We start from the raw sequence: 23,124 nt of genomic DNA, 5'->3' as shown, positions 1-23,124 counted from the left end.
TCTGACACTTGACTAGTTGTGTGAGCTTGGGCCAAGTTTCATGGCCTTCTCAAGCCTTAGTTCTCTCATCTGTATACTGGAGATAATAATAGCACCTTCCTCCTAGGACTTGTGTGAGACTTTCGTGAGCTCGGTCCTGCAAAGTGCTCAGCACTACATTGTTAGCTGAGTAGTAACAGTCACTTTCCTGAAAGCTTCTTCACCCAGAGGGGCTAGCCCATGCCTGTGCACAAAGAATGTCAAATTACATTCACACCCCCTGAGATTTCCAAGCTACAGGCCATTTTCACAGTGGCCACTCTCCAGAAAGCTAAGTCCTGCTGAAAGTATGTTTCCAAGTTGCCATCACCTTTAGAATATTTCTGATAAGCAAGCAAAACTGCCTGTGGCCTTTGGCAGTGAATTTCTGGGGGCTGGTAAGAGGAGGATGTTTACCAGAGCACAAAGGCCAGGTCATAAGCAGAGAATATTTTGGCCCAGACAGATCCCAGAGAAGGCATTTTTGCCAAGCACAGACTCCATTCTCAGGTCCTGAAGTCAGCATTAGACACTAAACAAACCTTCCCGGGTTCACATTTGTTTACTTTTGGCCAAATGCAACTTCCTGTTTGAAAGGAAAAGGGCAGTAAAGCTTTCTATAGCCTTCTTGGACATAAAGGCTCTACTTGAAACAATTGATTTGCTAAGGATAAATGAATCAAACGTACACAATGGGGATCTCCCCTCCCCTCAAAATGTTCATGTTTCAACAGGGAAAGTGCTCAACAAAACCAAAACAAATATTTTTTCAACTGCTGGCCAATGAAGATTGTTTAGGCCATTTCTTCTCCTGAGAGCAAGAAAAACAGACATCAGGAGAGAGCTGAGTTACATGTGCTGTGTCAGAGAAGTCACTGCGACACACTTGGGGGTTGAGATTTCAGTTACACAGAAAGTCACAAAGTTGAAGTTCCCACAGCCACTCAAACCACATTCCCTAGCATGAACACAGAACAACCAGCTCTTTCATTACGTGACTACGTCCCAAACCACGTCCTTCAGGATCCTGAAATTCCCTCGGATGCCCATGCGCCCTGCACCTAGGTTTGAAAACTGACTACCAACCCCACATAAATCCACCATAAGATTTTACAAGGATTCAAAATAACTTACTCTGTGTGAGGAGGTGGGGGATGGGGAGGGGAGGTCTGTACTTTTAGAGCATCTAGCAAAGTTAGCATAAAATATAGACTTTAACTTGGGTTTATATATAAAATGAAGGTGCTCTCTACAAATCTTGAATCTCCTTGTCATAAAATATTAAATTTGTAAAGGACCTTAAAAATCTTCTGGTCAACCTCCCCCTATACACAAATATATAAATAATATAGATGAGGAGTAAAGAGGTCGGGAGACATTTCCTCCTTAGACTGTAGACGTCTTGCTTCTTAGGGCAAGAACTATTTTGCTTATCTTCTTATTCTTTAACACAGCATGAACACAATAAAGACTCAGGAAGAAAGTGACAAATGAAGAAGTTAATGAGCTGCCCTGGTCTGCAAAGTCAGGCTCAGCACACAGGACTCTCTCAATGCTGTGCACTCTGCCCAGTCCTATCCCTGTATTTCCACTAGATTGTAATCTCCTTGAGGGCTGAATATGTCATTTATTTGTTTTTTTGGCCATCATACCCTGTGCATTGAACTTTGCAAGTATTCAATAAAAACATTTTGAATGAGTAAAGAAATTAATGAATGACTGAGTAGATGAAAACACACAAAGGAGATAACTAAATATCTTTCTTGAATAATTTCAATATTACTTTGCCCCAAAGGGGAAATTCTTCCAGTTTCTAGGATGCTGGATTTAAGGAGAAGTAGATTTGTGTATATTCCATACATTCCTTTGACCCTTCCCTATTGGTGTCCCACTGGACAATTATAAAACGAGAAAGGGGCCGGGCATGGTGGTTCACACCTGTAATCCCAGCACTTTGGGAGGTCAAGGTGGGCAGATCACCTGAAGTCAGGAGTTCGAGATCAGCCTGGCCAACATGGTGAAACCCCGTCTCTACCAAAGCTAGTCGGGCGTGGTGGCACACACCTGTAGTCCCAGCTACTCAGGAGGCTGAGGCAGGAGAATAGCTTGAATCCGGGAGGCAGAGGTTGCGGTGAGCTGAGATCTCGCCATTGCACTCCAGCCTGGGCAACAGAGTGAGACTCTATCTTAAAAATAAATAAAACGAGAAAGGTAATTATAACAGGAAACATCACTTCCTCCCTCACAGTGCAGCCAGTTCTCTTCAAGCTCATTACCTACTTCAACTTTAATGAAAATGAGTTCGTCTTGGCCCACAAGGCCTTTACATCTGGCTCCAACCTGTCCATCTGTGGCCACCCTACCATGTTTTTAGACTTAAAGAGATCTTTCATGACTTTACGTTCGTGGGCATGCTGCGACCTCCGTCTAGAATACACTTCACCATCACCATGATTACCATGACTGCTACCATCACCACAGCAACCTGGCCACTGATGCCATCACCCTTTTCACCACTCCCACCCACTTCCACCATCACTGTCATCACCACCACCATCACCATCTCCCATCATCGCCACCCACGTCATTCAAAGCCAGCATCACCACCACCACCACCATCACTGCCCTCCATCACCCTCACCACCAATTACTGCCACCTTGCCACCACCCCCTTGAACTTAAAAAATTCTTCTTCCTCTCTTAAGAGCCAGCTCCAGTGGAACCTCCTAAATCTCTCCAGAATTTGGTGCCCAGCCCTTCTCTGAGCTCCAACAGTTACTTGTTCTCCACTACCTGATTGCATCCAGCATATTGCATTGTAGCTTATTCAATAGCATGGCCTTTCTAGCAGCCCATAAGCTCTGCTGCACCCTGAATCCTTGCTTGAAAGGAAATATTTACAGAGTGTCTGACCACAGATCTCAGAGCAATGAGGGTCAAAAGAAAGGGAGTGTGCGAAGACTCCACAGAGAGGAGGCTGGGGTGCTTCTGCCCAGGCTATGGCTACAAGGTTTCAAGAGTTACCAACGTTGCCCATAAACAAAGATGTGGTATGAACTGCTTCTATAGCCTGCCTCTTCCGTCTTTCTAGATTTCTCACTTTCATTTGAATTGTCATTAAACAAAATTACATACCACCTATTCAGTACTAAGATCACAGGCATGCTGGGGAGGAAAACAGCCAGACCACTCTCATGCTGGACTAGAATTGGGTGGGTGGGGCTGGACAGGAAGGGTGTTTGAGGGTCGGGGAAGGCTCCCAGAGGAAGTGAGGTCTAGGCTGAGGTCTGACAGCTGGGTGAGGACTAACCAGGTAAGGAGAGAGGAGAAGAGGTGCTCCATGATGAAGACACGGGTCTCTCTGTTTTGCGAACAAGCCAAGCTTGTTCTCTCATCCAGCCCCTTGTACTTTCCATTTCCTCTGCCTGGATCCTTCTGCTCCCAGATCTTTACATGGACAGCTTTTCTTCATTCAAGTCTCAGCTCAGATGTCACCTAGGCAGAGAAACCTTCCATTTCCCACTGTCTAGCTCAGTGCTTCTCAAACATTAGCATGCAAAGAAATGACAAGGGGATCCTGTTACAATGATGATTCTGAATCAGTAGGTCTAGGCCGTCTTCTGAGATTCTGCATTTTTAACAAACTGATTGCTCATATGTTGTTGTTGACTCAAAGATCATGCTTTGGGTAGCTCTAGCTGAAAATCGTCATGTCTGATTTTCTTCATAGCTCTTATCGTTACATAAAATACCTTGTTCATTATTTTTTTCTAGTTACTGTTCTCATATATACACAAACCACCCCTAGAATGTGAGTTCCATGAAATCAGGTATATGTTTTGCCTTTTACACCACCGTATCCTCAGGACTTGCTTATAGTAATTGCATACCAAATATGAATGAATGTGTGAATAAATGAAGGATTTGGAGTTTGGCCTTCTAGCCCAGGGCTTCACTTCCCTCCCACAACCTAGGCCTCCATAATAGGACATCAGCACTTTGTGCCAAAGACCACTGTAGGAAATCTCGAGAATAAGCCTATGCCATAACTGTGGGTCAGCATGTAGTCTTGGTTTTATTGTTCCTTCCTCTTTATTTCACCCCAGCAGCCATCATGAGCTCATCCCAGCCCTGGGAACACGCCGTCCTTTCCTGCTCAACTTCTAATATAAGCCCTTAGTGTTTCTGGTGAAAGCTACTCTCTCCACCTGAACCCTGACACAATGAAATTCTTGGATTCTGCACCATCTCTTCTTTCATCTTTCCGATTTTTCCTAGGCCCTATGACCTATAGTCAACCTATGCTCTCAAAATTCTTAAAAAGCCTTCTCTCTAGTCAGATAATGTATCTCATTCTGCTGCTCAAGGAGACTTTCAACCTAGGATTGAGCATACTTTCCAATTTTTTCATTTTCCAAACTAGCTTTCTGTTTCTAAACACCCCCTTTTTTCTCCCTGCCCCCAGCGGGCACAGATTACCATTGCCAAGCATTAGCAAGCATCACCTCAAGGTGAAGTGCTGTGCCTGGTTTGGGGAACTACAAAGGACAGACATGACCCCAGTCCCTGGAGACCTGAAATCTCAACAAGAGGGAAAGCAGCCCACACACAAGAAGAGAACTAATATCCAGTGCAAGGTGTAAAAAGTGTCCATTTGCGTGAGTGTGCCACACAAAAACGAGGTGGGCCCAGGAAACCCACTGTCTTGACGTAACTTTGCCCTCCTGGTGATCCCCACAGGCTATTCCTTCTTCTTCTACAGCAACTCTTCCTCTCCTCACCTCTAAATGCTGACACTTTCAGGGTTTAGCCATGGGCCTTTTGCTCTTCCATCTACATACTCTCCTGCTCTGGGAAATCTCAGCCATTTATATGACTTTAAATACCATCTCTATGCTGACAACTGCCAGATTTCTATCTTTATTCCAGACTCTTCTTTGAAAGACAAGGTCACAAAACCAACTGTTTGGTTAACATTGCAATGTGGATATCTAACAGATATCTCAAGCTTTAACTATCCAAAATGGAAGTCTTGGATTTCATCTTCTCTCTCTCTCTCTCTCTCTCTCTCTCTGTCTCTCTCTCTCTCTCTCTCTCACACACACACACACACACACACACACAGAGACACAAACATATACATACTGACATACACAACCTCCATTTAAAATCTGTTCCTCACCCAGTCTTCCATTTAAACAGTTGTTTGAGGGAAGGGGGAAAAAATAGAATTATCCTATCTTGCTTCTCCCACATCCAATCTGAATCAGTTAGAAATAAGTTTGGTGATACATAAACTAAATTTAACTTACAATTATTTAACCAAATAAGAGTTTAATTTTTTTTTCCACAAGGGAATTCCAAAGGAAGGCAGTCCAGGGTGAGATGGGGACTCTGAATCAAAGATCACGCATGCTGTTTAATCTTTCTGTTTCCTTCATGGTGACTTTCTCCTCAGGCTTTTTGTCTCTTGTCCTCAAAGTAGCTACTCCAAATGGCATCTGCAATTCAAGCAAGAAGAAGAGGAAGAACAAAGGGAAAAATTTATTTGGCAGTTAAATCCACTTCCTTTTAAAGAGCTTTTCCAGAATCCCCTATGCAGCATTTCCCTCTTACATCTCATTGGTCTGAACTATATCACATGACTACCCTTAGTTGCAAGAGAAGCTGGAAAATACAGAATTTTCTTTTTAGTTAGGTACATTGTCACCCCCAAACCACACTTACATTATAAATGTTACATTATTTATATTCTATAACATTATATTAATAGGAAAGAAAGGGAGAATGGATATTAGGAAATCAATCTACAATGTCAACCACAAAATCCATCAGCAAATCCTGCTATTGTCTGTCCTCCAAAAACCATCATGAATTCATCTCTTCCTCTCCATCCACACTGCCAACAGTACCATGATGCCTCCTGCCAAGTTACTGCAATAGACTTTTAACTTGCTTCTTCAACTGCCAACCTCCAACCCTTTTTCCACCTAAAAGTCAGGTGGGGACATATTTAAAGGCTATCTTAGGTCATGTAATTCTTCCGTTAAAATTCCCGTTATTTGCCACTTCATGAAAATAAAATCCAAGCATTTATCATAACCCACAGGCCCTGTATGATGTCATCCCTGCCTACTTCTCCAGTTTTCTTCCATCACACTCTTATTTATTTATTCATGCATTCATTCACTCGAACATATTTACTGAGTGCCTACTATGTTCAAAGCACTGTTTTAGACACTGAGGATAAAGTAGTAAAGAAATCAGACAAAAATACCTTCCTTCCTGAATTTTGCACTCTAGCAGAGGGAGACAAATAATATACAAAATGCATCAGTGAAACATTTAGCACTTGAGTGGTCATTAGTCATCCACTCTGCTCCAGCCTCGCTGGGCTTGCTTCAGTTCTTCCAACTCTTCTAGCTGAGGACCTCTGCCTAAAAAGCTCTTCCCTCTTCATTCCCACAGTCCTTCCCTTATATTCTTCAAGTGTCAGCTCAAAGGGCACTTCTCCCGAGAGGCCTTCTTTGACCACCCATCCTGAAATAGGGCCACTCGTTATCCTCTTTCATTGCACTTACCACATTTTGAAATTGGATGGATAGATGGATGTATGAACTCCATATGTTTACTTGCTTACTATCAGGCTCTCACTGAAGATTTACCTGTGTAATTAAAGAGACCATGTCTATTCTGTTCACCATTCTAATCCAAGGGCATAGAACAGTCAGTGCCTGGCAGATGGAGGCCCTTAATAAATATTTGTTGATAGATTAATAAATCAGTGAATGAGTGAAATGGGTGTGCAATGGGCCTTTGAAAGGCAGTATCAGTACTTCAATAGCAGAGATTGGGGGGAAAAGGCATTCTTAGACAGGTGGAACTATATGGGTAAAAACTGAAAGGCAGCAATTGGCACCAATTGACTTGGTGTGGTTGACAGTCAATTAGCCATTTTTAACTAGAGTCTTAAGAGATGATACTAGAGGGGAAGATTAGGGACAGTTGAGAGGAGGTCTCTAATGCTGGGCCTTACTTTGGGCAGTATCAAAAATAAACAAATAGAGAGCAAACACGCCATCACAGAACAACATAATATCTCTCTGGAGCAGCCTCCAGACCCAACCCAAAATCATCACAACAAGCACTCAGAGAAATCACAAGAGATGAGAAAAGTCCAAAAACTTGGGATTCCCCATGCCAGGCATACAAATCATCTCTTCATCAATTTAGTATTTTTTAAAATATCTTTTCTGGCTGGGCACAGTGGCTTACACCTGTAATCCCTGCACTTTGGGAGACTGAGGCAGGATGATCACTTGAGGCCAGGAGTTAGAGATCAGTCTGGGCAACACAGGGAGACCCCATCCCTACAAAATAAAATAAAATAAAATATTAGCTGGGCATGGTGGTGCGCACCTGTAGTCCTAGCTACTTGGCAGACTAAGGTGGGAGGATTGCTTGAGCCCAGGAGTTGGAGGATGCAGTGAGCTATGATTACACAACTACACTCCAGCCTGGAGGACAGAGCAAGACTCTATCTCTTAAAAAAAATTAATTAATTAAAAACCAAAAGTTATCTCTTCTGATTATAGAAGCAATACATATTTATTATAGAAAATTTAAAAAGCACAAAAAAAATAAAAAAATAAATTAAGTATTAGTACTGTGAACATTAATACAGGCTTTTGTCCAAAAGGGAGCATCCTTCCTCAACAGTCTGCATAGCACATGGAAGGGGTGGCAACACCAGTGACTGTACAGCTGGGCCAACCAAAAGAGATGAATTGCTAACCTTGACTCCAATGAGTCCCTGGTGTGTGACATTGGAAAGTCACTTTCTGCCTCTACCCTCAGTTTCCTCATTAGTCAAACACGGATTTTTCTGATTTGTGATTTTTAAAGTGTGCCTTGGGGCTTTGTGACACCCTTTTAGAACAGGTGGGGGAAAGGGCTCAAACTGTCCTGCCTGTCCTCCAGCCAGCATAGAACCACATTACCTGTTTTCCATTTGGGGTTTTGGCATAAATTTGGTAGTATGTTGGATTGTTGTTGTTGTTGTTGTTTGTTGTTGCTTTGTTTTGTTTTAAACTACACATCAGGAGACATGAGGTTGCAATTCATTTTTCCAAATACTCAATAAAGTTACTTCCAACTCTAACTTTTGATGATGATTCTAATTCCCTTCTGACATAAATTAATATAGTCATGAACTAGGTGTAACTATAAACTCCTTTTCCTATGGGCCTACAGGAACTTTCCTAAAGATTCTAAAAGTATCAAGTCATTCTAAATGGAATAACTTATACCAGATCATCTATGGCTGCGGACCTTGAACAAATTGCTTAACCTCCCCATGCTTCAATCTCCTCATCTATAAAATGGGGATCATATAACCCACTCTATTGGATGCAGGGGAAATGAAATTGTATCTCATACACAAAAGTGCCTAGCACACAACAAGGAATAGAGCCGTAGCTTACATTTCCCGACTTCTTACTGTGAGCCAGGATCTGAGCTACATGTTTGGTATGCATTCCTTCATCCCGTCTACACACAAGCCTATGCAATAGGCCCTTTTTTTTTTTATTATTGTCTATTATTTCCCCATTTTACAGATGAGAAACTGAGGCTTAATGACATTAGGTAACTTTTTTCCATTTCACCCAGAGCTTGGGTTTGAACCTAGGTAATCAGATTCATGAGGCTATGCTATAAAATGAATAACAGTAAAAAGCATAATACTAACTGTAACTCAACTATTTTGAGGGTTTGCTCTACAGGAGATACTATTATAAAAGCTTTGTCTTATTTAGTTCTCACATGGATCCAATGGAGCGAGCATTGACTTTACAGATTAGAAAACTGAGACACAGAGACACTAAATGCTGTATCTCCACTGCCTTTTAAGTTGACTGCTTAGAACTGACTCCAACTCCTTAGGTAGCTTCCCTACTGAACATTAGGAGCCTGTGCAACTAATTGTCTAACTGATCCTTCTGAAAATATAGAATAAGAAGCATCCTCTAAAATGAAAACTCCCAGGGAAGGGGTACATTAACTCAGGATTTACAACAGCAAAAGGTAATCATCAAAGACTCCTTTCCTTCCCGCTCCTGCAAATCCAATCAATTATGGGTCCTGCAGTCTCACCTCCTAAATATTTCTCCACTCATTCCTTTCGCTCATTCCCACCTTGGCTGCTCCGGTTTGTGCCATTCTGTCTGTCAAAAGCCTCCTGCCTGCTCTCCCTGCTCCAGTCTTGACCTCCAACCACCTTACACCCTCACTCTATACTGTAATTTCCCCACTAAAATCCTTTTAGTGCCCCCACACTATGTCCTACAGAATAAAACCCAAGCTCCACACGCCCACATTTGTCTCCAGCCTCATTTCCTAGTGTAAAATGCATATTCCAACATCAGGAAACCACTCATAGGTCCTCTCACCACATGGTCGTTTCCCACCTTTGTATATTTAGTATATGTTCTCTTTGCATAGAAATCCTTTCCCATCTTTCCACGTGTAGCTAACTCTTTGCTCTTCCTTCCTTGAATAGCCAGGCTAATCCATGTACACTCCTCCAGGCTCCTAATGAGCCCTGCACTCTTAGCACATTGAGTTAAATGTATGTCCTAACAGGACTGTCTACCCCATGGCATAGCACATTTCCTGAGAGCAGGGACAATTGGGGCTTTATTCTTCTCTGTATCCATGACATCTATATGTGCAGTATGCAGCATGTAATAAGCACTCAATAAATATTTGCTAAAGAATCAAATCAGGCCAGGCATGGTGGCTCATGCCTGTAATCCTAGCACTTTGGGAGGCCAAGGTAGGAGGATCCCTTGAGCCCAGGAGTTTAAGACTAGCCTGGGCAATATAGGGAGACCCCATCTCTAGAAAAAACTTCAAAAATTAGCCAGGTGTGGTGGCATGCTCCTGTAATCCCAGCTACTTGGGAGGCTGAGGTGAGAGGACCTCTTAGTCTGAGAGGCCAGGGCTGCAGCAAGCCATGATCGCACCACTGCACTCCAGCCTGGGCAACAGAGTGAGACCCTGTCTCAAAAAATAAAAATTAAAAAAGAATCACACCAAAGTCAAGGAATTAAAGATTGTAGTGGACAGTATGCAAATTCTTAGCATGTTTTTAGCTATAGGTAACATTCAGTGAACTCTCCCAAGTTTGAATAATTGTATTAAGCAGCTACCATGAACCATTTGCCATTCTAAGCCTTTACCTCATGTCTTCGTAATAGTCCCACGAATTGCATGCTGCTACTATTCCCATTTTACAGATGTGAAAACTGAGAGAGATTAAACAACTTTTGCAGGGCCACAGATCTAGCAAGTAGAAGGGCTGTAGTTTGAATCTGACTCCAGGGTCAAGTTCTTAGCTAATTACCACAAGACTAAAATGTCAGCCAACAAGTGTATATCATAAGCTCAAGGCAAGAGCTGCCAGTAGTTCACACCTGGGGGCAAAAATATGGAGATAACATCTGTCTTAGGAAGAAAGCCGAGAGAGACGTGTACTCCGAGTCAAATGGCAGGGCGTGGCTGGTGTCAAGAAGAGACACTCCTAAGCCATATACATTGATATGTAGCTCCAATCCTCCAAAATGAGGGATTGCTGCTATGCCCAGGTCCACTTACCCACTGTTGAGCAGTTAAAGACTAAGGCCTTGAGTCAAACAGATCTAGGTTTAAATTCCAATTCCATTCATTGCAAATCACTGGTCTTCTCCAAAACTCAATATCCTCATCTGTAAGCTAGAGATACTTAACCAGTTTTGAGGATTAAATGAAATAATACAATATATCTAGTGATATAGTATACCACTATATTAAATCTAGTGATATATTATATCATTATATTATATCTAGTGATATATTATATCATTATATTATATCTAGTGATGTAAGTGCCTAACACATACAAGGCACTGAAAACAGCTACTTTATTACTATGTTGTTGACTATTATCATACAAGCACTGAATCAGAAATCATTCCAGGAAGTGGGGAAGTCACACAGTATGCATAGGTGCTGGGAATCCATCCCTCCATTTGGGGAATAGGGATATGGTCTGAGAAGACATTCTGAGCACTGTGTATAGTCAGAGACTGCTGATGGTGCATGCTTTATAAGTGGGGTGGGAGTAGCCCAGCAGTGTGCATGGTGTAGCCTGAGAAAGAGGCCCTGGAAGCTTCTGGCTTCATACTTTTTAATTTCATTTTAATAACTAATGAATCAGAAATATAAGGATGGATCAGAAAATCAGAGCTGTTTCCTAAATATCCATCTTTGCCAGTCTTTGATCAGAGCAACACTGAAGAATAATTTTCTGCCTGGTCCCACTGAAATGTGATATTTGCATCTTCTGAAGTCTTATCACTGGTCCTTGCAAAGACTAGATAAACCTGGTCTTTGCAAAGACTGTTCCTGCCATCAAGGCATGACGAGTGGTGGATTGGGGTGCTATTTAAAAGCCTTATTCATAAAGACTACTCAAGAGCCTCTAAAAATAATCTTGTGATTTAACAAGGCCAGGATTCAAATAAGTTAAATGGGTTGGAATAAGTTAAACAACTGACAGGAAAAGGCTAAAGATTTCCCAGCCGTCAACCTCTAGTGGTGTTGGCAGGAGTCTTGTGACCTACCTCTTCCATATCTAATCACTTAACACAGGGGGTCTCTCCCTCTCCCATAGCAATCTCTCCCTTCTTTTCACCCACCCACCCCCATGCTGTTCACATCCAAGAACAACAGGTTGTGCAAATATAGGCATGGATGATAGACAATTCAGTCCCCAGGGATGACTAAACTCACCTAATTCCCTTCTTTACCAGATTTTTATGAGAAAATCACTTTTGATGTTCCAAAGGATGCCGCATTAAAGCATGCTGAGGAGTATTGGTACACCTCCTTGACTCAACTGTAATAATAAAAATACTTAATATTTTTTGAGTGTTCACTGTGTTCTAGGATCTCTGTTGAAAGCTTTTTTCCTTCCAAGTTTGTTATTGTGGTAAAATACATACAACATAAAATTTACCATTTTAGCCATTTTTAAGTGAACAGTTGAATGGTGTTAAGTATATTCATAATGTTATATAACCATCACCACCACCCTTCTTCATAACTCTTTATACCTTCTAAAACTGAAACTCTAATCTATTGAGAGCTTTTTACATATATGATTCTATTTAACTCTCAAGATAACTTTGTGAGATTGGTACTATTGTTATTCCCATTTTTTTAACCAAGGAGACAGAACCTGAGAGATAATAACGAACTCATCCGAAATCACACAGCCATTAGGAGAAGAAAGTAGTTTTAAATCTACGTGTAATAAAGTTTGCACTTGTACTCTTAATTTAAACCTTCCTACAATAAACCAGTGCAAACTCTTTACTGGCTACCCGAGAACCAAACCAGCCAAGGGACTCTGACTTCAGATTATGTGACTGTAACTGAAAGGTCCTCCATCTCTTTGAGATAGATTCTGAAGACAAACTCTTCTCGACTCTTTCTTTTACAAAACCTGCACTTACAGCTGGAAATGTGGAGAGGAACAAGGGCAGAACACCTCAAAGGCTGCCCTGGCATAGGGGAGGTCACACTGCCCTGCAGCTGGTCTCAAGGCTGCCTCACCATTCATCGATTCAGTCTGTTCCGTCTATGTGTTCCGGACAACGCTTAAGTCCAAAGCTGCCTCTAGCAGTCCTGTGATGTGTCAAGACGAGAAGTCACCAAACATAAGGTCCTTTCCTGGCACCATTGTTTGTATTTGGTTTGAGGGCTTCAGCCTGAACATGGCAACACCCTTTTAGGAATGTATGGTGCCAGGTCAGATGGCCAGACTCTGCATGCCATGTAGCTGTGAGTACCACCAGTAACATTTAGAGCTCTGAATAATGAAAACAAGTGCTGGTCAGATGCACTCTCGGTAATCCCATGTGTTATTTTCTAGAAGAAAACAGCAGGTTCTTCTTAGTGCATAGTTATCACGTGCCTTAATCCCCACACCCACTCTATGAGGGCCATACAGACAAGAAAACTGAGGTCTAGAGAAGTTAAGCCACTTGCTCGGTGTCTCACAACTAGTGTCAGGAATTTAATTCAGGTGATCTGATACTCTTACTGTTATTCTGTTCTCCATAATAAAATGAGGTAACCAACATGGCCCAATGCAGCCATTTTCATCAAAGGCCCAGAGGGCTCTCAGATCAATATTTTCTTCCAAACCATTCCAGGTATGAATTTTCCCTGCCTGCTGTGGTCCAGCTTTTACCTTTTTTTTTTTTTTTTTTTTTTTTTTTTTTTTTTTTTTTTTTGGAGACAGAGTCTCACTCTGCTGCCCAGGCTGGAGTGCAATGGTCCAATTTCGGCTCACTGTAACCTCCACCTCCCGGGTTCAAGCGATTCTCCTGCCTCAGCCTCCTGAATAGCTGGAATTACAAGCACGTGCCACCATGCCTGGCTAATTTTTGTATTTTTAGTAGAGGCAGGCTTTCACCATGTTGGTCAGGCTGGTCTCAAACTCCTGACCTTGTGATCCACCAGCCTCAGTTTCCCAAAGTGCTGGGATTACAGGCATCAGCCACCATGCCTGGCCACTTTTACATTTTTAAAGTAGCTCTTTGCTGGAGGAAGACCTTGCAAACACTATCGAATAATGGTGGTGGTAGATGTCCATGATCAGCTAGTGGAAACTTTCTTTAGTGAGTCCTCTCATTTTGAACAGTGGTGTCCTGAGTTACTCCCAGAAAGAGTGATCCTATCCAAGACCGGACATGTAATATTGAAATGGATGGAATATAGAAACTAACTTAAATATTTTAATGTTTCCATGAGAGAATTATTTCCCAATATGTATCTGGAAATATATGTTTTTCAGAATCGAAAATCCCAAGAAAAGCTAATTAAGAAATCAGGAAAATAGGAAAAAGTATTATAATTCTACTGCAAGAATTAAAGCTTCACAATCAATACAAAGACACGTGTTTGAAGAACTCCACTAACATCGTAGCAAAATGAAAGCCTGCAGCTGAAGGTTAAGGTTGACATTTCCAGGAACTGGTACAGCACACATAGGAGGAAAGCCACCCTAACCTAACCAACCTTGCCTGCAGCTGTGGCCATGTTGTAAGGATGTGTTTGTGATTGTGTTTGTTGACAATGGTGAGTCATTTTGGGGAAAAAATGTGATATTAATAAATTTATATGCATATATACTTTATAAAAATCCTATAAGTTGTGTTCCAAAGAATAAAAATTTTTGGCAACAAAATAAGCCCTTAAACTGGTGATTTCAATTTCAAATGCTACCCAATAATGTTTGCTGGCATTTTCAAGCATTTGAATATTTACTATAGGCTAAAGTTCTTTGTAACTACAGGATGAGCATCCCAAATCCAAAAATCCAAACTCTGAAATGCTCCAAAATCTGAAACTACTTAAGAGCCTACATGACACTCAAAGAAAATGCTCACTGGAGCATTTTGGCTTTCAGATTTTTGGATTTGAGGTGCTCAACCAGTAAGTATAATGCAAATATTCCAAAATCTGAAAAAACACTTCTGGTCCCAAGCATTTCAAATAAGGGATACTCAACATGTACTACTAAAATTAATGTTTCCAACTTATTAAATACATTTTTCTTAGATGTCCATCATAATAAGAAATGAACACAAAGAATGTTGAAATATTTTAAGAATAACTTAGGATTTGAGGAATTCCTAAGAATTCCTGGGAGTTTTGATTTCTCATCCTCAAAGATTAATACCTGTTGAAAATCTGGAAACACCAGAATTCTTAAATAAAATGGTAGTAATGAAATGCATCCATTTGCACACTCAAGAGCCCATTCCTTTTAGCTTTCTGAAGCAACAGCAGCAGTCCCTACCCAAGTCATCCCACTAGCTGATTCCTAACATGTCATTGCTGATGTAATCCCTCAAGCAAGAAACATAGGATAGGTTATGAATTACAGAGGGCTTACTACAGTGCATGGAATTCAGGCTGCTTTTGATGAAGTGATGTCATACTATGAATATCTTCTACCTATAGGTTATTAGAACTTCAAGGACCAATAAAAGCAAGATAAAGCCAAATTTAAAGCCAAAAGGAAAGAAGAACCAAGCTCTGTTTTCCAGAGTAACGTGTAGACTTTAGACAAAATTTTCCACCCAAATTTGTGCGTCACAGGTCAGGAGAAAAGCCTATCCCAGTAAATCAGACAAAGAAAGAATCAGAACCTACCACACTATGTAAAATCAGAGGAGACAGGGACCTCAAAGAACATCCCCCACACAATGAACACTGAAGGCTTCCTGAGAAATAGGCAAAAACTCCAGTAAGCACAGGACAAAAGAGAAGTTGCCAAATTAAGAGCCTCCCTTATTTTTGTACCTCATGCCCCTGGTTTATGGCAGACATTGAGCTGGAGAACACCTAGTCATAGCCCTCTCCTTTATATGGGAAATGTTACTCCTTTAAGAAGGATGACTCCCTTTATGTTTTCTATATAAACTTTCCTTATGCATCTTTTATACCCTTTCCCTCACTGAACTTGAGCAGCCCATTCACTCACCTTATAATGTCTATAGAGGAGGGAAAAAAAAGAGAAAAGAACAGAGAAAGGAAAAGGAAAGGGGAAGAGAAAGGGAAAGGGAAAGAAAAAAAAGGAAAGGAAAGGAAAAGAAAAGAAAGGAAGAAGGAAGGAATTGCAAAAAAAAAAAAAAAAAAGTAGAGAAGTAGTTTGAGGTCAACACTTTATCAAGAAAACTTCACTAATTGTGGGAGTGAATTGTCTATGCATGGACATTTTATGAATTTCCCCATTTACAAATGCACCCTACTCACAAAGCTAACTACTTTAAAGTTCTTCACATGGCTACTACCAAAGATAGACTTTTAAAAACAGTCACATTACCTTTGAGGAAGGACCCATGCCAATCTTTTCTCAGTCCATTCAGCGTGAGTGTGTGTGCTGCCAAAATGTGGTCTTGTGTAGTTTTCATTTCATTTTATTAATAAACCCAAGCTTTTCTTCAGAAAAGATGTGCTGATGGCACTTTTTAAAGAAACAAACAGTAACCTTCACAAGACACTCTCCAACTGCAGCAGCAAGCAAGGACTCAATTAGGCCCCAGACTCATATCCCACCAGAGTGGCCAGGACGCATGGTCCAGGCAGAAGAATTTCATGTTTATTTTGTGGAAAATGGGAAATCCTTGGAAGACTGGCATGACATTCCCAAGGAAGTATTTTTGGAAAATAGATTTGTCTCTCTTGAATGGAATAATATAGTCATCTGTCAGCCAGTCGTTGGCCCATTACCAAAAGTACCTCTCTACATCCACTTTTATAAAAACATAATTTCCACTTTTACTTTAGATTCACTCAGAAGGTACATGTACAGGTTTGTTACATGGGTACATTGCATGATGCTGAGGTTGGGGTATGAATGATCCTGTCACCCCGTTAGTGAGCATAGTGCCCAACAGGTTTCAATCCCTGCCCTCCTTCCTCTAGCAGTCCCCAGTGCCTATTGCTGCCATCTTTATGTTCATGAGTATCCACTGTTCAGTTCCTATGTATAAGTGAGAACATGTGGTATTATTACAAACCACTTTTATGTTTTTAGTCTATTTTTGCATATGAAGGTAGACGATGCAATATACTACTGTGTAAATTGTGGAGAAGTAGGAAACTCAATGGAAGCCAAATATAAGATGGATGGAAGGACGCATGGACAAGTCACTGGCACTCTCTGAACCTCAGTTTCCACATCTGTAAAATGGAGGAAATATACCTACCACATGAGAATGAGTATAAAATGCTCAGCACAGTGCCTATCATATAAATATTAGCCTCAAATGTTAGCTAACATCATTATCATCATTATCATCACTATCAACTACCCACCACCACCACAATCATCATGGCCGTCATCAGCACCCTAGCAGCAGCAGCAACATAGGGCCACCAGAGCAAGCCTTCCCATCGTCTCTTGAAATCCCGTTCCCCAGGCAGATCCTTACTGTTCATCATAGTATTTCTCAACATGTTCTTCTCCAGCATAGAGGAGATCCAACCAGGGGAAGAGGCTAAGAAACAGTATGTCAAAAACGTCTTAAATATTGAAGAAGGCTGAGGGTATTGAGGAAGGAAACAAACTACTTCAAGCACAATGACAATTCCCAGGAAATGTAAATTGGTTGGACACCCTTTGTGTTATTCAAGTGTTCCTTACAGATGTTAATTCACCTCATTTGGACCCCTTTGCAAATGGCGGCTGCCAACAAATGTCCCTGGTTAAACACAACTTAAGAGAATTGCTCAGAAAAGGGCATGTTCTGTGCTCCTGCGAGGACAAAGTTAAGATCATTTGTTCCCTACTCAATTCATCTTTGACCCCCAAACACATTCTTCAAGAGCAATCTTCCTCTTTAGAAGTTCCTCTCTTGGGTTTTAGAGAACTTTTTGGCTTGAACTCTTTCTAAAATTAAAGCCAACTGCTGTTAACTCTCAGATGCAATGATATTACACTCTGGCCGGGGCTGACTATCACAGACGCATCCCAAACCACATAAGTTCTTATTGTTTAAACTGTCTTAAGCAGCTGTTAAAACATACCCTAAGATATCAAAGCCACTCTAATTAACTTCCTGCTTCTTTGGGACTTCAAAGTCTTTCAAAAACTTTTAAATAGGGTTTTTATAGAGAATTTGACCTAATATTTGAAGAAAATTTTGCAAGCTTGCCCAAGAGACTCCAACTTCTCCTTCCCTGTTCCACTCCCATTCCCTCCCCACCCCCCAGAACCTCAGCGTTCTAAGACTAGCTGTGAGAATTGAGGATAAATTTTAAAATCTGCCATACCAAAAATGTAAATCTCTTTACTCACATCCATGCTATTTATCAGGGTGGTCATTGACATCCCACGTAAATGGCCCTCCCTGTGACACCCCTTCTCAACTTGGCAACCCTTTGCCCATCCCTCAAACCAAAACTTCTCTGTGAAGTGCCCCTGGATCTCTCAGGGTGAGGGCACCGCTCTCTTTCCCAGCGCCCACACAATCCCCACATCTCTGCTTGGCTTTTATCACGATGAATTGGAATGTGTCCGTTTACGTGTCTGCCTCCCTGTCTAGACTATGAGGTCCATAGGGCAGGAACTGTTTTGTATTAAGCTTTGTGCTCCCACAGCCTAGCACAGGGCTCTGCATACCCATGAGCAGGACTCAATAGATGTCTGATAAATGACTGAGTCCCAACTCATTCTGGGGGAGTTTGAGTTGCATTTTAATGTATCCATTCCTTATTGGTTTTTGACCTCAATCCCCAGGTGTTCCATAAACATCATCTTAAAGGCATTATACCAAGGGAATCGCTGCTCTGAGTAACGGGGTCATAAAAATTAGCTAAAACTTGGAAATAAGGCAAAAATGGTGAGTGGCACACCTTTCCAAGTCCTCCAGAGAATTTCCCAGGAGAATATACTTAGTTCATTTCATTGCTTGCCAGTGACTTAAGGTCTCTGACTTAGTGAATTTATCTATTATCTTGTATATTTTTGTCCAGTAGAGACACTGATCATTTCTGTCTGCTGGAACATATAACCTCAAAGATTTGTGGCCTGTTGGACATTAACCAGTTTATATCTAACCCAGTAATCTTATCCTAACAATTTTTTTATTAAATTGCCTATAAATATCCTCACTTCTTAGTCTTTGAACAGGATATGCCATCTTACTGGTTCCCTCATTAATGAATGAATTAAATAAAATCTTTGGTGGCACAGGCTTTTAGTCCTAGCTACTTGGGAGGCTGAGATGGGAGGATCACTGGAGCCCAGGAGGTCGAGGCTACATTGAGCCATGATCACACCATTGCACTCCAGCCCAGGTGAGAGAAAGAGGCTCTGGCTCAAAAAAAAAAAAAAAAAAAAAAGGGTGTTTCTTTTGTATTTCCCTGAATCAGATTTTACCTTTTTAACAATTTTTTTTTAGAAATAAAAGTCATAATCCACAGTGACAGTACAAAACCAAAAGTCTACAGGTTAGGTCCCATGGAGCAGCAGAGAGGCCTGGGCTGGGTGTGCAGGAAGTTGGCTCTGCTAGGAACTCTCTATAACCTCCAGAACCTCCCTCGTGCTTATCTGTCACAGAAGGACAATATCCTAAGCTCCCTGTATCCCTCACAGGATTACTGAGATAATCACATGGATCAATTTACTTAAATAACTTTGGAAGAGTCTAAAGTACCAGTCCTGGTGGGGCATGGTGGCTCATGCTTGTAATCCCAGCACTTTGGGAAGCCGAGGTGGGTAGATCACATGAGGTCAGGAGTTCAAGACCAGCCTGGCCAACATGGCAAAACCCTGTCTCTACTAAAAATACAAAAATTAACCTGGCATAATGGCGCGTGCCTGTAATTCCAGCTACTCGAGAGGCTGAGGCACGAGAATTGCTGGAACCCGGAAGGCGGAGGTTGCATTGAGCCGAGATTACACCACTACACTCCAGCCTGGGCAACAGAGCGAGACTCTGTTTCATAATAAATAAATAAATAAAGTAGCAGTCCACCATGAAGCTCTTGTAAAAGAAGGCCAGCTTTTCCCCCAGAAAACAGTGGTGAGAAGGACAATACATGGAAGGAGACCAGAATGAACATAGATAGGAAGGAGCTGCTGCCATCCCACCCCACCCCTCTGGCCCAGGGTTAAACCACTGTCAGCTCCTGCCTGGACATTGGGAAGAGCCTTCTAAAGCATCCACTCTTGCCTCCAACCCCATCCAGTCTCCACACAGCAGCGACTGTTCTTTCCAAACTGTAGGAAGATCATGTCACGCCTCTGCTTCAAGCCCTCCAGAGGCCCTCCGACACTCTTAGGTTAACATTCACACTCCTTTCTTGGCCCACAGGGCACTATGTGATCCAGCCCCATGGCTACTTCTCCAAACTCATCTCAGGGGTTTCTCATCTTTCCTCTGTGCTCCAGCTTCACAGGTGCTATTAGGCTCCTCAGGCAGGTGTAGCTCTCTCACCTCAGGGCCTTTGCCCACTTGCTGTTTCTTCTACCCGAAAGTCTCATTCCCATCCCCCTTTCTTCACATTACTGGCTTCTTTTGATATTACCTTAAATTTCACACACACACCCCAGAAAGAACATCCTTGCCCACCCTTGCCAGAAATATATCTACCACTATTCTCTCTCTGGCTCTGTTCTTAGTACTCTCCAGCATGGGAAGATATTTATGTATGGTCTGTCTCCCCCATCAGCAAGACTGCCTGGTAATTGCCCTAGTGCCTGGCACATAGTAGGCACCTGATACATATTTGTTGAATACATGAGGATAAAGGCACAAGATACCCAGCTGCTTCCAAGTAACGGAGGTCATGCGGGACAGACACATTTCTGAACCCGTGCAATGCAAGTTCCTGAATCCCAAGTACATGTTTCAAAAGACTGTTAACCAAGAAGAAAACTCCCAAGCTCGCAAGGCGTCAATTCAGTGCTGCTTTCAAGAACAGGGCTCCTCAGAAACGCTCTGCCTAAGGAACAACAAGTAACAACAGGTCTCACCAGCACTTCATTTCGTAACTCCAAAGATATCGAATCACTTCATGAGAAGGAAACAGCCCTTCCTACCAAGAATGAAACATTACCCAGAAACACGGCTGCATCTGTACCCAAGGGCTAGGCTTGAAGCAGATGAAAACAACCACCAACTGGAATTCACGGATGTTTCAACAGCACATTGGGGAGAGAAAATCCCAAGCTGCCTTACAGGATTCTGCTCGAGGTTTGCTTCAGGGTATCCAATTATACAGCTCCCTCTCCACAAGCCTTAATCAGAGCCGCAGGGCGCTCCATTTCCAGGGGCTTAGGGCTTTACAGTTTCTGTGATCACTCTTGCCAGCCACTCCAATGGCTGCAGCACGAGGCCCCGTACCTTCAGGATGCTCCCATAATGCCCAGGGCGCTGCCGGCTCACCTCTGTGAAAAGATACCTCCAACAAGCAATGCTGCCTAAGAGCTGCTGGTTAATGGGGTGCTCGTCTCCATTCACATTTTTCATATCAAGGATATCAAACAGCAGCAAAAGAGGTCATGGCAGCAAAAAGCTATTTCCTGGAAAAGTGTCTGATGGGGGAAGGGCCCAAAATGATTTCATTCACTATGTGACTGGCCCGGTCAAGTTATCTGGAGATCAGAGGCTGCTGGAAACCTGCCCCTAGAAGTCCTTCCCCACAAAGGCTTGTGGCCAACAGGAATGCTAAGGCAGGGATGCAAACAGGGCTTTCTTGCTTTGGGGGAAATATTAGGTTGTAGCCCCAGATAAGTTCATTCTAAGCAGCCAGGCAGAGAATACCTATCTTCAAGTGTTTACCTTTTTCAGGTGCAACAGAATTTTTTTCTGCACCTGTCAACCTGCCACCCCCAATCAAAGGCCAGGCTGCAGCCTTCACAGCCAGGACCCACCCACCTGTGCAACCTCTGCCCAGAAACCCAAGTCCTATCTCAGGATTCCAAGTTAAAGAGTTTCTCTTATCACTTCCAACCCCTTGCCTCCATGAAGAAGTTCTTCCCTGAAACGCACCAAACTCTTCTTGAAACTCAGACAACGACACGAACGAGCTTGTCGCCATGCTTTGTTTAACTTTTTTTTTTCTCAGAAATGTCTTGTGGCCAAAAATAGAACATTTTCCGTTCTGGGGAACAAACAGCATCCATGGGAATTAAAGTAGTGCCTCATGCCTCTCCAGAAAATTCCTGCACGCACACTCATGCACACATAAGCTGCTTGCAAGTTCCAAAACGTTGCTTTCTGTAGGTACAGTGGTGAACAGGAGCCAAAAGTCCTCTGTTTATTTTCTATCCAAGAAAGTTGCCAGATAAAAAAACACAAGGGCACCTCAGGGAGGCTTTATAGGAAAAATCTAACTTAACCTAGTGTAATGATTTTGAAAATGGCCCCATTGTCCACCCCTCCTCCCTCTCACCACCATCCTAGAGTTGGTCTCAAGACTCACTCCTCTAAAATTCCAAAACGTCATGGCCTTTATTCCGGCAAGCTACTGTTGCATGATTAGCCATGAGGTTTCTCTAAACTTACTCCTTCGATGGAATCAGAAATGACACATTTAGGAAAAAAATCTCAATCTTAAATACTGAACTAGGTAAAATGAAGCCTTGTGTAAAATGTCAGAAAAACAGTAATCCAGAAATTAGGCTACTAGCACAAGATGCGGCAGTATTTTATACACTCTTACGTGTCTTACAAATTTATTATTGTCAGCATTTCCATAATCCTCTTTAATGAGACTTACATGGCTACAATGACATTTCTTATTTTTACGTTGGAATATGCAGCCCATTGACTATCCGCCACCTCTCCAAAACCAGGGATTGTGTTAGCTATGAGGTCTGCAGGGGCTGTTTTGTTTGTTTGTTTTGCTTGTTTGTTTGTTTTTTGAGATGGAGTCTCGCTCTGTTGCCCAGGCTGGAGTGCAGTGGCACGACCTTGGTTCACTGCAAACTCCGCCTCTCGGATTCAAGCAATTCTCCTGCCTCAGCCTCCTGAGTAGCTGGGATTACAGGCACCCGCCACCATGCCTGGCTAATTTTTTGTATTTTTAGTAGAGACGGGGTTTCACCATGCTGGCCAGGCTGGTCCTGAACTCCTGACCTCGTGATCCTCCTGCCTAGGCCTCCCAAAGTGCTGGGATTACAGGTGTGAGCCACCGCACCTGGCTGGGGCTATGTTTTTATATGCAGCTGGTAAGAATTTAGAAATGAGGATTAAGAAAAAGGAAAGGTCCTTTAAAATAACTGGATCTATTGCTGACACCAGAAGTAGGAAAAACTAATAAGCCAATACAGGGACAGTGAAGGAAAGACCAAGAAATGGGGAAAAGCATAAGAATAGGGGAGAAAACGGGAAGTAAGAGACAGAGAAGAATCTGAACATCAGACACTAATTGATGGATGATTGGAGGTGAACAAAAGCAAACTGAATGACCCAAGAGGGGCCATGGGAAGACAAGTATGGCAGGAGAGAGGGGACAGGAAGGCCAAAGGGAGAAGTA

The 23,124-nt window shown here is 42.2% G+C and overlaps 1 long non-coding RNA gene and 1 pseudogene across 2 annotated transcripts, besides 2 other annotated features; one reads left to right on the top strand and one right to left on the bottom strand.

Annotated features, from left to right (window-relative positions):
• Positions 1,032–1,091: an enhancer, noted in NCBI's record as "active region_3717". NCBI's record gives its function as "activates an Ori minimal core promoter by ATAC-STARR-seq in GM12878 lymphoblastoid cells {active_cell/tissue: GM12878}" and the evidence as "EXISTENCE:reporter gene assay evidence [ECO:0000049][PMID:35858748]".
• On the bottom strand, positions 5,336–21,247 carry LOC105378414 (uncharacterized). Of its 2 annotated transcripts, none has more exons than XR_001747303.1 (2): positions 21,030–21,247; positions 5,336–5,519 (listed from the first exon to the last, which is right to left on the bottom strand). It is a non-coding gene; the product is annotated as an uncharacterized LOC105378414 (long non-coding RNA). The 2 variants fall into 2 exon arrangements; XR_001747304.1 differs by lacking the exon at positions 21,030–21,247 and adding an exon at positions 20,701–20,812.
• On the top strand, positions 14,857–15,362 carry MED6P1 (mediator complex subunit 6 pseudogene 1; annotated as a pseudogene).
• Positions 20,887–21,181: a silencer, noted in NCBI's record as "tiled region #1114; HepG2 Repressive non-DNase unmatched - State 22:ReprW, and K562 Repressive non-DNase unmatched - State 3:PromF". NCBI's record gives its function as "represses a minimal TATA promoter and a strong SV40 promoter by Sharpr-MPRA in HepG2 and K562 cells {active_cell/tissue: HepG2 | K562}" and the evidence as "EXISTENCE:reporter gene assay evidence [ECO:0000049][PMID:27701403]".

Source organism: Homo sapiens, chromosome 10 (genome assembly GCF_000001405.40).
Source record: "Homo sapiens chromosome 10, GRCh38.p14 Primary Assembly".
NCBI lineage: Eukaryota > Metazoa > Chordata > Mammalia > Primates > Hominidae > Homo > Homo sapiens.
Note: the sequence above shows the minus strand (reverse complement) of the source record. Positions and strands in the feature narration are given on the sequence as shown.